Below are 16,117 nucleotides of genomic sequence, written 5' to 3'. Positions count from 1 at the left end.
AGACTTTTTTCACTGCTTTATATATACAGAGAGAGGATTAACAGTTAATTTAATGCTTGCAAAAATGCCTTGAGCACCTTGGAATTAAATATGTCATGTGCAAGTAAATAAATAAAGGCTTTAGAGTGTAGAGACATCAGTCTTCCCTGAATCACATGCTCAGAGCATCTAAATGCATGCATACACACAGCCAGCTGGAAATCTACTGGTTCCACTAGATGGGCACAAAGTGACCCTAGAATTTACACTTTCACATGTGGTATTAGAAGGAAGAGAGGAAAGACAAAATTCCATCACCCACTACATTTGCTACCTCTCTATGGATGAGATGAAAATCAATACAAATGCCTTCCTTAATGTTCAATAATTCAAGTCTTCCCCACCCTACTCCCCCTTTCACTTGCCCCTTTCCCATCCTTTCCATTCCCTTTTTTCCCTGATCCCACTGTCTTCCCCAAAACTACTCCACTTCTCCAGGATCCAACCAGCTGGCAGATGACTTGGCAATGAAGGGAGAAGAGAAGAATCTGCTTTTAAAAAGAGAGAGCAAGGCTGGGCACGGTGGCTCACACCGGTAATCCCAGCACTTTGGGAGGCCAAGGCAGGCAGATCACAAGGTCAGGAGTTCAAGACCAGCCTGGCCAACATGGTGAAATCCTGTCTCCACTAAAAATACAAAAAAAATTAGCTGGGCATGGTGGTCCATGCCTGCAGTCCCAGCTACTGGGGAGGCTGAGGCAGGAGACTAGCTTGAACCTGGGAGGCAGAGGTTGCAATGAGTGGAGATGGCACCACTGCCCTCCAGCCTGGGCAACAGAGCAAGACTCCATCTCAAAAAAAAAAAAAAAACAGAGAGAGAAAGCAAGAGGGAAAAGATAGCAAAACGTGTGAAGCTTACATAGAGACCATCTCTAATATATTACCATTACTAATTATCATTTTATATTGATAATGAGTTGATCAGCACTACCATCTCTGGCTGTTGCAGAGAGAGCTTCCACTCATGCTACCCAGGGCCAGGTTCTTGAATCTCAGCCTAGTGTCCCCTGATAACTCAATATTCATGGAAGCCTGGGGTTCAGGGAACCTCTAGAACTTATAAGTTAGATGAAATTGCATGTCAACTTCATGTGGGTCGCCCTCAAACCAATTAAAACATCCTCTTTGTGGAGAAACTATTTCAAGTCCTGAACAACTGAAATGTAAGTGGATTTTTAGGGTAAAATTTATGGTTGCCAAGGTAAGGTGGACTTAGAATCAGGTGAAGCAAATCACATGAGAAAGAGCCTCCAGACATCAGGCCAACTCCTCCAACCCCATGTTGCATTTTTGTGAGTTATTTTCCTCCTGAGGCTGCTCTTGATTTTTATTTTGACCAGATTAGAGGAGCAGGCAGAGAACACATCACGTGAGTGGCCCTAACCTCCAACAGCTATAAAGGAAACATGGAATGGAACATGGACAAAGAAACCAATGTACGTTGGGTGTCTCTAGGCACTAGTTTTGTTTTTTTGCATTGTCTCATCCAATCCCCCATGCCCTTAAATAGTATTATTAGAAGAATGCAGAAGGCAGCATTTGCACATCAGAAATGTTATTATACGCCAAGACGGGTGGATCACCTGAGGCCAGGAGTTCGAGACCAGCCTGGCCAACGAGGCAAAACCCCGTCTCTACAAAAAAACACAAAAATTAGTTGGGCATGGTGGCATGTGCCTGTAATCCCAGCTACTCGGGAAGCTGAGGCAGTAGAATCACTTGAACGCGGGAGGTGGAGGTTACAGTGAACCAAGATTGCACCACTGAACTCCAGCCTGAGTGACAGAGTAAGACCCCATCTCAAAAAAAAGTTATTATATGCATTTTACGCATTAAGTTGGTGAAGTTCACTATCTTGCCCTACACCTCTCACACAGCTCTTAAATAGACCATGAGCTCCCTAAAGAGAGGGCAGGATCTTACTCCCCTATGCTTCCCAGTACCTAGTATAGGACATGGCAGAAAATAGGCATTCAGTACACATTTGCTGAAGGAAAATTAAGAACGTGGCAGAAGTAGAATTCAAATCCATTCCTATCAGTCTTCAAAATCTTTGCATCTTTCTACAGAACCAACTTATCTCTGTGTGTAAGATCACAGAATTGTTTTTTTTTTTTTAATTTTAAGTTCCGGGATACATGTGCAAGATGTGCAGGTTTGTTATATAGGTAAAGGTGTGCCATGGTGGTTTGCTGCACCTATCAACCCATCATCTAGGTATTAAGCCCCACATGCATTAGCTAGACCACAGAGTTTTTGTCTTCGCATAGGAAATGCCCACAACTGAAAATATATTAAGTTATTTGTCTATTCATTCATTCCTTCCTGAAAATGAAATATCATTGGATGCATCTTCTTTGACAGAACAGGTATTCTTTATTCCTCTCCTACAGTTGTACTTTCATTTCCTTTTCTTCCTTCCAGAGATGGGTCTTGACCTAGAGCCTCTCTCAATACTGAATTCATTCATTTTTCTAATGGAAAGCTATTTGAATAAGACCCTTGAATTCTTGGCAAACTACCTATTTAGGTATAAAAACTGCATGCAGATGGGAAATTCTTATTACTAATTAGAGCTTTAGGCCCAATCCCACAAAACTCCGCATGAACTTTATCTCACTCTTCCCTTTACTTTCAGTGCCTAGAACAGTGCCTGAAACTTAATGGAAACTCAGTATTCTCTGAATGAATGAGTGAATGGAATCCCCACAACACAGATGGCAAACACATGTGCCTTCACTCCTCTCTTCCGTGTTCACTTCAAACCTCACTAGGGATCCTAGTAATCATCCTGTGAGGCCAACAGAGGGCCTCTGCATCCTTCTACACAGCACCCCGAGCAGCAACTACCAACCTACTGAAGGCAGCGTTTGCAAAGAAATTTATTTACACTTTTTTTTTTGTGGTTGTCTACCCTGGGAAACTGAGCTGAGTCACACATCAGTAAGGAAGACCCTCACCTGTCCCTCCGGCTTAAGGCCAAGGCTAGGTGACCTCAGTCACGTGGCCTGTTCCTTTGTGGCTTTATTTCTAATGGGTCCACAATCTAGTCATCTGATATGGCCCAGAGATGTACTGGAGCTGGCTTGGATTGGCTCAGGAGAACAGATTGTCCCTGTCTCTTCCGACATCTGTGTACAGTAACGTCATGGTTGTCAGCTTGAAATCAGCCGTAGGTTGGTGTATTTACACCATGGGAATCAGCAAGGGCTACAAATCAGGGCTTGTTTGTGTGTGTATATGTTTTTCTGAGACCCAGTTGTTAAGCCAGCACATCATTTCCTTGACTCTCTCAATTCCAGTAACTAAAGGAGATGAAGAAGAACAAGTCCAAAGGGGATGTTTTTTTCCTCACTGAGAATAGAAGTGGCTAAACCACTCATGGGGGGCTTCCTTCCCAGTGGTCACAGCCTGGTTCCTTTCGTCTTTTTTTTTTTTTTTTTTTTTTTGAGATGGAGCCTTGCTCTGCCTCCAGGCTGGAGTGCAGTGGTGTGATCTCGTCTCACTGCAACCTCTGCCTCCCGGGTTCAAGAGATTCTCCTGCCTCAGCCTCCCAAGTAGCTGGGATTACAGGCATGTGCCACCACACCCAGCTAATTTTTGTATTTTTAGTAGAGATAGTGTTTCACCATGTTGGCTGGGATGATCTCGATCTCTTGACTTTGTGATCTACCCGCCTCGGCCTCCCAAAGTGCTGAGATCACAGGCATAAGCCACCACGCCTGGCCTCCAGCCTGGTTTCTATTTGGCCTTATAAGGAAAGTAGAGGAAAGGAAGCAGCCTGGGTTACCAAAGAGATAGAGAGAACAGCTTTCTACATGTAAGAAAGAAGTTTTAGCCTCTTTGTTCTTCCTGTGAAAAACCATCCATACTCCTAAGCAGCTGTGAACATCATGAGAGCCTCTTTTTCCAAGTGGTAAAGTGAGGTTGAGTGGGAAAAGGACCTGGAGAGACTCTTTTTTATACTTTATACTTTTCGTACTACCTGCATCAGAATCACCTTAAAGGCCTGTTAAAATTTTCATTACCCAGGCAGCACCCCGCATGAGCTGACCAAACCCAGAAAATGGGATTTAGAAAAATGCGTTCCAATGGACACATTTTAACCAAATGACTCTTAGGAGACAAGGGATTCTTAGGCTGGCTAATTTGAAACAGACTTACTCAGGGAGGTCATTTAGAATGCACGTATCTGTGCCCCGTACCAAGAGATTCTCATCAGTAGGTCTGGAGTGGGCCCCTAAAACCTACGGTTTGATAAAGCTCTCTAGGTGATTTTGATGACAGTTGAAGTTAGACTTTGTAATCAACACATATTTTTCTCTCTTTTTCTTTTTTTAACAAGATGAGCTTTTTTTTTTTTTTTAATTCCTGACTTTGCAAAAACAGGCCTCATTTAATGTAGAAAATCTGGATACCTTCTTTAGATAAACACCACCAAACCCTTATAAAACACAGGCATTATGCTCTTTGTTTGGATTAGTTTCATTTAATCCACAAAATAAGCCTACAAGATATAGAAATAGATGGTATTATTATTCCCACTTTAAAATCAAGGAAGCCAAGGCTTAGAGGCATAGTTATTTGTACAAAACCGAAAAACTAAAAAGAGGTAAAGCTGGAATTCTTACTCAAACAATTTGATGCTAGAACTCACACCTTTAATTACATGTACTGCCGCCCAAATGTTTTCATAAATACAAAGATAATAACTGAAAAATGTCACTGAGTGAGCAAAAGGATTTAAAAAAAAAAAAAAAACTAATCCTGAAAATTTCTCCAAAATATAAAATTCTACTTTTCTGGATATTCTTCATACAGAAGTCTGAACTGGTTACAGTAGATTTATATGGGTGGAAATCAATCAGAATAATTGGGTTTGGGTAGAGCAAAATAACCAATAAATTAGCTTGAACATGACCTTTCAGAGGCAGCCTTGTATTTTGTTCCAATTCTCTGGCCCTGTTTCCTCGCTCGTTAATTGGTAGTTTGTTCTCTAGTCAGGCTGCCTGTTTCTGACACTGGGTAATGCATTATGAGATAATCTACTTTCCGTGACTTCACACAGTTCCCATGGCAACCATCAATGCCATTTCCCTGCAGGATGGCTGCTTCGTTTGTTTCAAATGTGTTGCAGAAATGTAAACATCTTTGATTAAAAAAATGTCCAGTGAAAGGACAGTCCACACAAAGAATAACATTTATATAATTACAAGAGGGAAACAATCTATAATTATTCCAACTCCTTTCCCCTGGATTAAAAAAAAAAAAAGTTGTAGAGTTTTTGGTTTTTGGGGTTTTTTTTCCTTTTCTTTTTTTTTTTACCTTTTTGTTTGGGGAAAGAAAATAAGGAAAAGGTTTGCTTAACAAGACATAATTGAAGAGACACAACACTTCTGTGGAAAGACCTTGTTCATTAAAGCTATAGTTCATTAGAGTTAAGGTGGCAACATTTCTGGAAGGAAATAACCATATCCATCAACCCAGCCACCACAAATACAAGAAACGTGCTTACCTAGAACATCCCTGGAGGTGACCCCGCCATGCTGACGTTCAGAGTTAATAATCCAAGATTCTCTTGGTCAATGGAGAGAGTTCTTTATATTTAATTCTTGCTGGTTAGCTATCTGTTTCTTCAAAGTGAGCTCCAGAGGAAATTTCTCATCTCAAGATGCGACCCCAAAGTAAAGGAAGTCAGCATATGGATCCTTTTTATAAGTTTTATTGAGGTATAATTGATAATAGTTTAAAAACTGAACATATTTAATGGACACAGTTGGATCTCTTTGGGCATAGCATCTGGATCTTGCTAACATCTATGCTGTGTTCTTTCTTATTTATTTGCACATGCTGTTCCTTCTGCTTTGCATGCTTTTCCCATCTTTTAGGTCAGCTCATTTCACTCATCCTTTGGAATTAAATTCAGGTATCACCTCCTCCAGCAAGCTGTGGTAGGCAGAATTCAAAGACAGTCTCTCAACATTGCAGCCCCAGTGCACACACCTTGTAGAACCCCCTCTTCTCAAGTGTGGGTGGTACCTATGACTACAGTGAAACATCTCTCCTGAGATTAGGTTTATCCAAAGGGAGCTTATCCAGAGAGGGCCTGACCCAATCAGGTAAACTCCTTCAAAGGAGTTTAATACTGGGCTACCAGTTTCAGCTTAGACACATAAAGAGCTTAGAAATTGTCCCACCCTTATACTATGAAACAAACTGGACAACCTAAAAATTAATAAAGTTATTGGATCCATAAGAGAACTGAAGAGGTGGGAAAAACTGCTGTTCTAAAATCTGGAGAGACAGTCTTGTCCAGAGAAACACAGATGAGATCTGCTTACCTAGAGCAGAAACCTCTGGAATCATAAACTGGTAGGAAGACTCAAGTGGGAGTTTTGGCAAATTGCTGGAGCTTGAGTGTAGACAGCCGTGAGTGAGAAACTCCTAGGAGCCACATTCTTACAGGGTCTGCCACATTTGTGAACTTTACCTCCAGGAACCTTCCCAAGTTTACGAGATTCAAGAAAGATCCTCTTTCTGGCTCTGGTAGGAGGAGAGGAAGAGTAATCCTTTAGAAATACAACTAGACTAATCTTTTCCATAACAAAGGCTACACTTCAGGAGAAGTTCCAGAGCCATCCAGCTGGAGGGAAAAGAATTCTTCCCATTCCAGTCCTCTTCAGCATCTCACCTAAGAAGAAAAGAAACAAAGTCAGCAGGTCCGGGGCTTGGTGGCTCACATCTGTAATCCTAGCACTTTGGGAGGCCAAGGCAGGTGGATTAACTGAGGTCAGGAGTTCAAGAGCAGCCTGGCCAACATGGTGAAACCCCATCTCTACTAAAAATACAAAAATTAGCCAGGCTTGGTGGCGCATCCCTGTAGTCCCAGCCACTCGGGAGGCTGAGGCAGGAGAATTGGCTTGAACCCGGGAGGCGGAGGTTGCAGTGAGTCGAGATTGTGCCACCTTCACTCCAGCCTGGGTGAAAGAGTGAAACTCCATCTCAAAAAAAAAAAAAAAAAAAAAGAAAAGAGAAAAGAAAGAAAGAAAGTCAGCAGAGGTCAGGGCTTCAAAGAAATAAGAACACTGGAGATGTGGCAAAAATAAAAAGCTATATGACTGGAGAAATACTTGTGAAGATCACAGCTCTAAGACACAAGCTCACTGGAAGACAGATTTAACTGGAAGGCTGTAGAATGTTCCCCTTTACTCATTCCTTACCACTATACTAACAGGGCTCCAGTAAAATGACAGCAGTTCATAGGTGAAAGACCTGCAACACAGATCCTCTCTGAAGAGAAAAATTCAGTCACAATTAAAGAAGGGAGACACTGGAGATTTTTGAAGCCTCTGGCAGTATAGTGACAACAAACATTAAACAGAGCTCAACTTCTAGCAAGATTATTTACCCCAAGTCCTGTTACCTCACTCAATATGTCTGGCCTTCAACAAAAAAATGACAAGGTATGCCAAAAAGCAAGAAAAAACAGTGAAGAGATAAAACAATCATCAGAATCAAATTCAGATATGATGTTAGAATGATCTGACAGAGAATTTAAAATAACCATGATTAATATATTATGGGAAAAGGAGACAACATTCAAGAATAGATGGGTAATATAAGCAGAGACTCTAAAATACAATCAATGAAATGAATGCTAAAACCAAAAAACACAGTACCAGAAATAAAGAATGACTTCAGTGGGTTCATCAGTAGACTCAACATAGCCAATAAAAGAATCAGGGAACTGGAAGATAAGTCAATAGAAACTTCCCAAAATAAAATACAAAGAGGAAAAACAAAAACAAAATATAGAAACAGAACACAGCATTCAAGAACTGTGGGACAACATCAAAAGGTGTAACATATGTATAATTGGAGTACTATTTCTATAAAAAGAATAGAGAAGAAAAAATATTTGAAGTAATAATGGCTAAGAATTTTCCATAATTAATGACAACATAAAACAATAGATCCAGAGAATAACAGTAATAGTAAAAACAAAAATATCTAGATGTATCATATTCAAACTGCAGAAAACCAAAGGAAAATAGAATAATCTTGATAGAAGACACAAGGAAAATACACTTTACTTACAGAAAAACAACAAAAAGAATTACAGGAGACTTTGCATCAGAAATTATGCAAGCAAAAAGAGAGTGAAGCAAAATATGTACAGTTGAAAGGAAACAAACTCACTAACATAGAAATCTATATCTATGAAAATAAAGAACTAAAGACTTTCGCAGACAAACGAATGGGAAAGATTTTTATCACTAACAGATGTCCCTACAAAAAATGGGAAAGATTTTTATCACTAACAGATGTCCCTACAATAAGTGTTAAAATAAGTTCTTCGGGCAGGAGGAAAATCATATAGGTCACAAACCTGGATGTGCATAAAGAACAAAGAACCAGAATAATATATATGATGATTATATCATATGAATAAGTGTAATAAATAACTGCTATATCATAAGAGATGGAAGGAGGGAATTGGGAATACTGTGTTAAGATACATGTACAACCTGTGAAGTGATGTAGTGTTATGTGAAAGAGGACTTCAATTATAATTGTCCCTCAGTATCCACAGGGTATTGGTTCCAGGACCCTGTATACCAAAATTCAGAGATGCTTGAGTTTCTTACATAAAATGGCATAGTACAGTCGGCCCTCTGTACCCATGGGTTTCACATCCATAAATTTAACCAACTGCAAACAGAAAATATTTGAAAAAAAATTATGTCTGTACTTAACATGCACAAACTTTTTTCTTGTCATTAGTCCATAAACAATAGAGTACAACTATTTACATAGCATTTAGATAGTATTAGGTATTATAAATAATCTAGAGATGACTTAAAGTATATAGGAGAATGTGCATAAGTTTACACATAAATACTATGCCATTTTATCTCAGGGATTTGAGTATCCCAGAATTTTGGTATCCCCGGGTGGTCCTGGAACCAAAATCCCTGCAAGGATCCTGAATGATAACTGTATTTACCTATAACCTATGGACATCCTCCCCATACATTAAATCATGTCTAAATTACTTATAATACCTAATATAATATAAATGGTATGTAAATAGTTGCTATACCATATTGTTTTTCTAATTTTTATTAACTTTATTGTTCTATTTCCAAATATTTTTGATCCAAGATTGATTGAATCTCAGGATGGGGAACGCATGGATACAGAGGGCTGACTGCATTTGTAAATATATATTATAAACTATAAATACAACGTGGCATCCTGGATATAAAAGTTTGCTGCATGAGCCAGGCACGGTGGCTCATGCCTATAATCCCAACACTTTGGGAGACTGAGGCGGGTGGATCATCTGAGGTCAGGAGTTCGAGACCAGCCTTGCCAACATGATGAAACTCCATCTCTACTAAAAATACAAAAATTAGCCAGGCGTGGCAGTGCACACCTGTAATTCCAGCTATTTGGGAGGCTGAGGCAAGAGAATCGCTTGAACCCAGGAGATGGAGTTTGCAGTGAGCTGAGATCCCACCACTACACTCCAGCCTGGGTGACAGATTGAGACTCTGTCTCTAAAAAAAGAAAAGCTTGCTGCATGAGCAAATGGAGTTATAATGTAAGAAAGATGTAACAATGCAAAAACAAGGAACAGGAAAGGATATTAGGAAAAAGCCTAAGGAAATCTGAATAAAGTATGGATTTTAGTTAATAATAATGCATTAATATTGGTTCACTAGTTTTGGAGAATGTACCATACTAATGTGAGACATTAATAATAGAGAAAAGTGGGTATGATATATATGGGAACTCTGTGTTATCTTTTAACTTTCTCATAAATCTCAAACAACTCTAAGTTAAAAGTTTATTTTAGGAAAAAAGCAATGCTCGGAGAGATTATCCTGCTAATATCAAAGAAGGAAGCAAACAGCTACATTGTAAGCTGCCTCTAAAGAAAGGCAGTATCAGGTAGCTGAGACCCTGTCCTACAACCACAGTAACTGATTACAATAATAACCACAGTGAACTTGGAAGAGGACTCTAAGCCCCAGATGAGAACCACAGTGTGGGCAACACCTTGATTGTAGCCTTTTGAGACCTGAGCAGGGAACTCATCTAAGCTGTGCCAGATTCCTGACCCACAAAAACTGTGAGAAAAGGTGCGTTGTTTAAAGCTGCTACATTTGTGGTAACTGCTATGCATGAATAGGAAACTAATACACAGACCTTCCCCGACTGTTCTAACCCAGATGTATGTGTTTCCCCTACGATTCTCCTTCCTTCTATCCATTCATCCAATTTGCACATATTGAGACCTACTATGTGCTGTGTACTGTGATAGACATTGAGTATAGAGTGATGAATGAGCCATAATCTTTGCCTCCTTGGAACTTAGAGTGTGGTAAAAGACACAAACAAACATGTAGATGCTTAATTTACCAATTATGATAAGTTCTGTAGGAGGAAAAATTACAATGTGCTAGGAGAAGAAATTTTTAAATAATGGAGGCTCAGAGAAGACTTCTCAGAGGAAAGTGTACTTAAGCTGAGACCTGAAAGTTGAGTGTAAATTGGCCAGACAGCAAGTGGGAGCAGAGTGGATAGCAGGTGCTAAGATATTGAGAAAGGAATGAGCTGGACGCTTTTGAGGGCTTAAAAACTGCCAGCATGATGACAAATCAAAGACAAAGAGAAAACCTGGAAGTAAGCATACTGCCTGGGTGACAGGATTATTGAAACCCCAAGCCTCAGCATCATGCAATTTACCCATGTAACAAACCTACACGTATACCCTTTAATCTGTAATAAAAGTTGAAATTACTTTATTTTTAAAAAGCACTTTGATGGTATCATTCCATTGCCTTTTGGCTTCCATTGTTTCTGTTTACATGCCAGCCATAATTTTAGGTCATCTGACAAATTTCTATATTCTTCGTATACATCCTTCTTGGGATTTTAAAGAATCTTTCAATCTGTGTTTTAATTTCTTTTATTAGTTTTAGACATTATCTCTGTATATTGCTTCTTCATATTATTTTCTTTTGTGAGACTTAAATTACACACATAACAAATAAATGTATAATGTCCCATTGAAAAGAGGAGAGAGAGAGAGAAAACCCAAAAGACACCAGAGAAAATGGCCAGCACAGCTGCTATGAAGAGCAAGAGGAGAGGCAGGAGGTGCTAGTGGAGGGTGGGTAGAGGTTGTCCATGAGGGTCCCAAAGCCTGCAGTACAGACGTTAGTAGGGTATGTTGAGGATTATAAGATGCCTTTGAAAGGTTTAAGCAGGGCCAGGCACGGTGGCTCACGCCTATAATTCCATCACTTTGGGAGGCCAAGGCAGGCGGATCATCTGAGGTTGGGAGTTTGAGACCAGCCTGACCAACATGGAGAAACCCTGCATCAACTAAAAATACAAAATTAGCTGAGCATGGTGGTGCACACCTGTAATCCCAGCTACTCGGAAGGCTGAGGCAGGAGAATTGCTTGAACCCAGGAGGTGGAAGTTGCAGTGAGCAGAGATCGTACCACTGCACTCCAGCCTGGGCAACAAGAGCGAAACTCCATCTCAAAAGAAAAGTAAAGTAAAAAAGAAAGATTTAAGCAAAAGAGTGCACAGATTACTGTTAGAAAGTTCACTCTGGCTGATGGAGAATAGATCGGATGGGGGCAAAGATGGATTTGAGCAGAGCAGTTAGGAGACTATCCCAGAAGGCTAAGCGGGAGCGTAGCTGGCAAGCATGGTTCCCATAGATATGGAAAGAAGGGGAAGTCCTGAGAGTCCCTTGGAAGATAGTGTGACTGCACATAAGATGTGTTGACAGGGAGTATGAGGGAAGCAACAATGCCCAGGAGGACTCCTCAGTGTCCAGCATCCTGGAAGAAAAAGCACCACTGGCCAAGGTGAGAAAGACTCAGGGAGGAACACGCTGTTCTCTTTGAGGAGTACATTTTTGCATTGCTATTTCTTCAGCTTCCCATGCCCATCCCCGCCATCTTGGCCTCGCCAACTCCTACTCTACCTTCAGAACCCAGCTCAGGTATCCCTTTTGGGAAACACTGCTTAACCACTCAGCTTTAGTCCTCTTCCCCTGTTGTCCCCAAGCACCTGAAGCATAATTGGCACATGCACAGAGTACACAGTGGCATAACTATCCATGTATGCCCTTGCCCCACAAAACCAGGAGCTCCTTGGGGGAAAAAACTGTACTTCAAAACTACTTCCAACTACAGTTGTCCTTTGGTATACATGGGGGCTTGGTTCCAGGATCCCTGTGTATACCACAGTTCCCGCTACTCAAGTCCTGAAGTAGGTCCTGAAGAACCATAGCTACAAAAAGTCAGCCCTCCCTATCAGGACTTTCCCATCCCAAGAATACTTGATTTTCAATCGTCATTTAGTTGGAAAAAAAATGTGCATATACTGGCCGGGCGCAGTGGCTCATGCCTGTAATCTCAGCAATTTGGGAGGCCAAGGCGGGCAGATCACGGGGTCAGGAGATGAAGACCATCCTGGCTAATATGGTGAAACCCCGTCTCTACTAAAAAAACAAAAAACAAAACCAAAAAAAAATTAGCCAGGCGTGGTGGTGGGTGCCTGTAGTACCCGTTACTCGGGAGGCTGAGGCAGGAGAATGACGTGAACCCTGGAGGCAGAGGTTGCAGTGAGCCGAGATCACGCCACTGCACACCAGCCTGAGTGACAGAGCGAGACTCCATCTCAAAAAAAAAAAAAAAGTGCATATAAGTGGACCCTTGCAGTTCGAGGGTCAACTGTAGAACATATTTGGCACACAATAAAGGTTTGCTGCATGAGAAAGTAGAGTAGCAACATAAGAAAGATTAAATATGGAGAGCCAGTCCTCCTCAGCACACAGCCCACATCTGAGGAATTAACAGAGGCCTCTGAACCATGGAGGCAAATGTCCCTAAGAGCAGATGATGAAGTTCATGCCATCTTCTCCAGCAGGACACCCTGGGCTAAAGGAGAGCCAGTTCACTTCAGACACAATTTTTAAAATTTTGACTTGATTTCTCAGTTCCCCAAAACAGATGAGATGGGACTTATAGGAGTTGCCACCCTGCAATGGGGCACACAGCAAGAAAATAAAATGCACTTGACTATTAAAATTGGGGTGTCTTGCTGCAAAAAAAGCAATGAGTGGGTGTCGAGTCTCCAGTCTGTAGCAAGATAATTATTACAGATTTAAAAACTGGCTTGGCCATCTGCATTGCACTGTCCATACACAAGGTTCATTCAGTCTTCTTAACAAATGTATGAGAGATTAAGAAGCTTACTTGCAGCCAGGAGCTGTGGCTCATGCCTGTAATCTCAGCACTTTGGAAGGCTGAAGTAGGCGGATCACGAGGTCAGGAGTTCAAGACCTGCCTGGCCAAGATGGTGAAACCCCGTCTCTACTAAAAATACAAAAATTAGCCAGACATGGTGGCAGGCACCTGTAATCCCAGCTACTCGGGAAGTTGAGGCAGAGAATTACTTGAACCCAGGAGGCAGAGGTTGCAGTGAGCCGAGATCACGCCACTGCACTCCAGCCTGCCGAGAGAGCGAGACTCCATCTCAAAAAAAAAAAAAAAAAAAAAAAGCTTACTTGCAAGGAATGATAAATTTAAACTTCAAGGGGGAGGAGGAGGATGGCACAGAGCAGACAGTGGGGAGGGATAAGAGGAGGAAAGGATTCACAGGTGTCTTTGGAGGTATTGGTGATGATGATCTGAGTGGTTGTACTCAGCTTATTGTCCTTTATACATTATTACTATATTCTAAATATTTATTTTCATGTATGAGTTTATATCAATTTTTAAGAGTCAGCTTGTTTGCCTAGGGTTACAAAATTAGTCTGTGGCAGAGCTGGCTGGCATTTCAATTCAGACCCTGTGATTCTGAATCTGGTGTCTCTTCCACTATTCGTTGTTGCCTTGCTGCACAGCAAATGCCACCATGAGTTACATCATGGGGCATCCAAACCAGCATCTATGTCTGACAGGGTGTCCAGGGAGGAGACATGAATATCTACCCTGGTTAATACCTCAACATTTAATAATAATAATGTTCCTGTTATTATTTCTCTTATAGTGTCTGCAATGCACATCTGTGCATTGCATAATGCTGTGTTTGATTTTATATACATATAACTACTCAATTGCATCACAACTGTCCTGCAAGACAAGTTCCATTATTTTCATTATACAGAGAAGGAGATTCAGATTAAGTAATTTACAGACTGCATGAGTGATATGGTTTGGCTCTGTGTCCCCACCTAAATCTTATCTTGTAGCTCCCATAATTCCCACATGTTGTGAGAAGGACCCGGTGGGAGATGATTGAATCATGGGGGGTGGGTCTTTCCCGTGCTGTTCTCGTGATAGTGGATGGGTCTCATGAGATTTGATGGTTTTAAAAAACGGGAGTTTCTCTGAACAAGCTCTCTTTGCCTGCTGCCATCCATGTATGATGTGACTTGTTCCTCCTTGCTGTCCACCATGATTATGAGGCCTCCCCAGCCATGTGGAACTGTAAGTCAAATTAAACCTCTTTCTTTTGTAAATTGCCCAGTCTCAGGTATGTCTTTATCAGCAGTGTGAAAATGGACCAATACGGTAAATTGCTACTAGTAGACTGGGGCACTGCTGAAAAGATATCCAAAAATGTGGAAGCAACTATGGAACTGGGTAACAAACAGAGGTTGGAACAGTTTGGAGGGCTCAGGAGAAGACAGGAAAATATGGGAAAGTTTGGGACTCCCTAGCGACTTGTTGAGTGGCTTTGACCAAAATGCTAATGATGATATGGACAATGAAATCCAGGCTGAGGTGGTCTCAGATGGAGATGAGGAACTTGTTGGGAACTAGAGCAAAGGTGACTCTTGTTATGTTTTAGAAAAGAGACAAGTGGCATTTTGTCTTGGCCCTAGAGATTTGTGGAATTTTGAACTTTAGAGTGGTGATTTAGGGTATCTGGCAGAAGAAATTTCTAAGCAGCAAAGCATTCAAGATATGACTTGGGTGCTGTTAAAGCATTCAGTTTTGGCCGGGTGTGGTGGCTCACGTCTGTAATCCCAGCAATTTGGGAGGCCGAGGCGGGCAGATCACAAGGTCAGGAGATCGAGACCATCCTGGTTAACATGGTGAAACCCCGTCTCTACTAAAAATACAAAAAATTAGCTGGGTGTGGTGGTGGGCGCCTGTAGTCCCAGCTACTCGGGAGGCTGAGGCAGGAGAATGGCATGAACCTGGGAAGCAGAGCTTGCAGTGAGCTGAGATAGCGCCACTGCACTCTAGCCTGGGCGACACAGTGAGACTTTGTCTCAAAAAAAAAAAAATGCATTCAGTTTTATAAGGGAAGCAGAGCATAAAAGATTGGAAAATTTGCAGCCTGACAATGGAGTAGAAAAGAAAAATCCCATTTTCTGAGGAGAAATTCAAGCTGGCTGCAGAAATTTGCATAAGTAATGAGGAGCCGAATGTTAATCTCCAAGACAATGGGGAAAATGTCTCCAGGGCATGTCAGAGACCTTCACAGCAGACCCTTCCATTACAGGCTCGGAGGCCTAGAAGGAAAAAGTGATTTTGTGGGCCCAGCCCAGGTTCCTGGTGCTATATGCAGCCTAGGGACTTGGTGCCCTACATCCCAGCAGCTCCAAGTGTGGCTAAAAGGGGCCAGTGTAGAGCTCAGACTGTGGCTTCAGAGGGTACTGTTGGGAGCAGGCCCCCAAAATCTGGCCATAAACTGGCCCCAAAACTGGCCATAAACAAAATCTCTGCAGCACTGTAACATGTTCATAATGGCCCTAACGCCCACGCTGGAAGGTTGTGGGTTTACAGGAATGAGGGCAAGGAACACCTGGCCCGCCCAGAGCGGAAAACCACTTAAAGGTATTCTTAAGCCACAAACAATAGCATGAGCGATCTGTGCCTTAAGGACATGCTCCTGCTGCAGTTACCTAGCCCAACCTATTCCTTTAATTTGGCCCATCCCTTCGTTTCCCATAAGGGATACTTTTAGTTAATTTAATATCTATAGAAACAATGCTAATGACTGGCTTGCTGTTAATAAATATGTGGGTAAA

The 16,117-nt window shown here is 41.5% G+C and overlaps 1 long non-coding RNA gene across 22 annotated transcripts in view, besides 1 other annotated feature; it reads right to left on the bottom strand.

Moving 5' to 3' along the window:
* Positions 1-5,056, bottom strand: part of LINC01643 (long intergenic non-protein coding RNA 1643) — a 201,365-nt gene extending 196,309 nt beyond the window's left edge. For all 22 annotated transcript variants that reach the window (NR_183602.1, NR_183600.1, NR_183601.1 and 19 more), the window contains exon 1: positions 4,961-5,056. This is a non-coding gene — a long non-coding RNA (long intergenic non-protein coding RNA 1643). The remainder of the gene's footprint in view (positions 1-4,960) is intronic.
* Positions 6,363-6,926: an enhancer, noted in NCBI's record as "OCT4-NANOG hESC enhancer chr22:34411551-34412114 (GRCh37/hg19 assembly coordinates)". NCBI's record gives its function as "activates a minimal SCP1, AML or CMV promoter by ChIP-STARR-seq in primed H9 embryonic stem cells {active_cell/tissue: H9 hESC(primed)}" and the evidence as "EXISTENCE:reporter gene assay evidence [ECO:0000049][PMID:30033119]".

This window comes from Homo sapiens, chromosome 22 (genome assembly GCF_000001405.40).
Source record: "Homo sapiens chromosome 22, GRCh38.p14 Primary Assembly".
In the NCBI taxonomy this organism is placed as follows: domain Eukaryota; kingdom Metazoa; phylum Chordata; class Mammalia; order Primates; family Hominidae; genus Homo; species Homo sapiens.
This window is presented reverse-complemented; position numbering and strand designations above follow the sequence as displayed.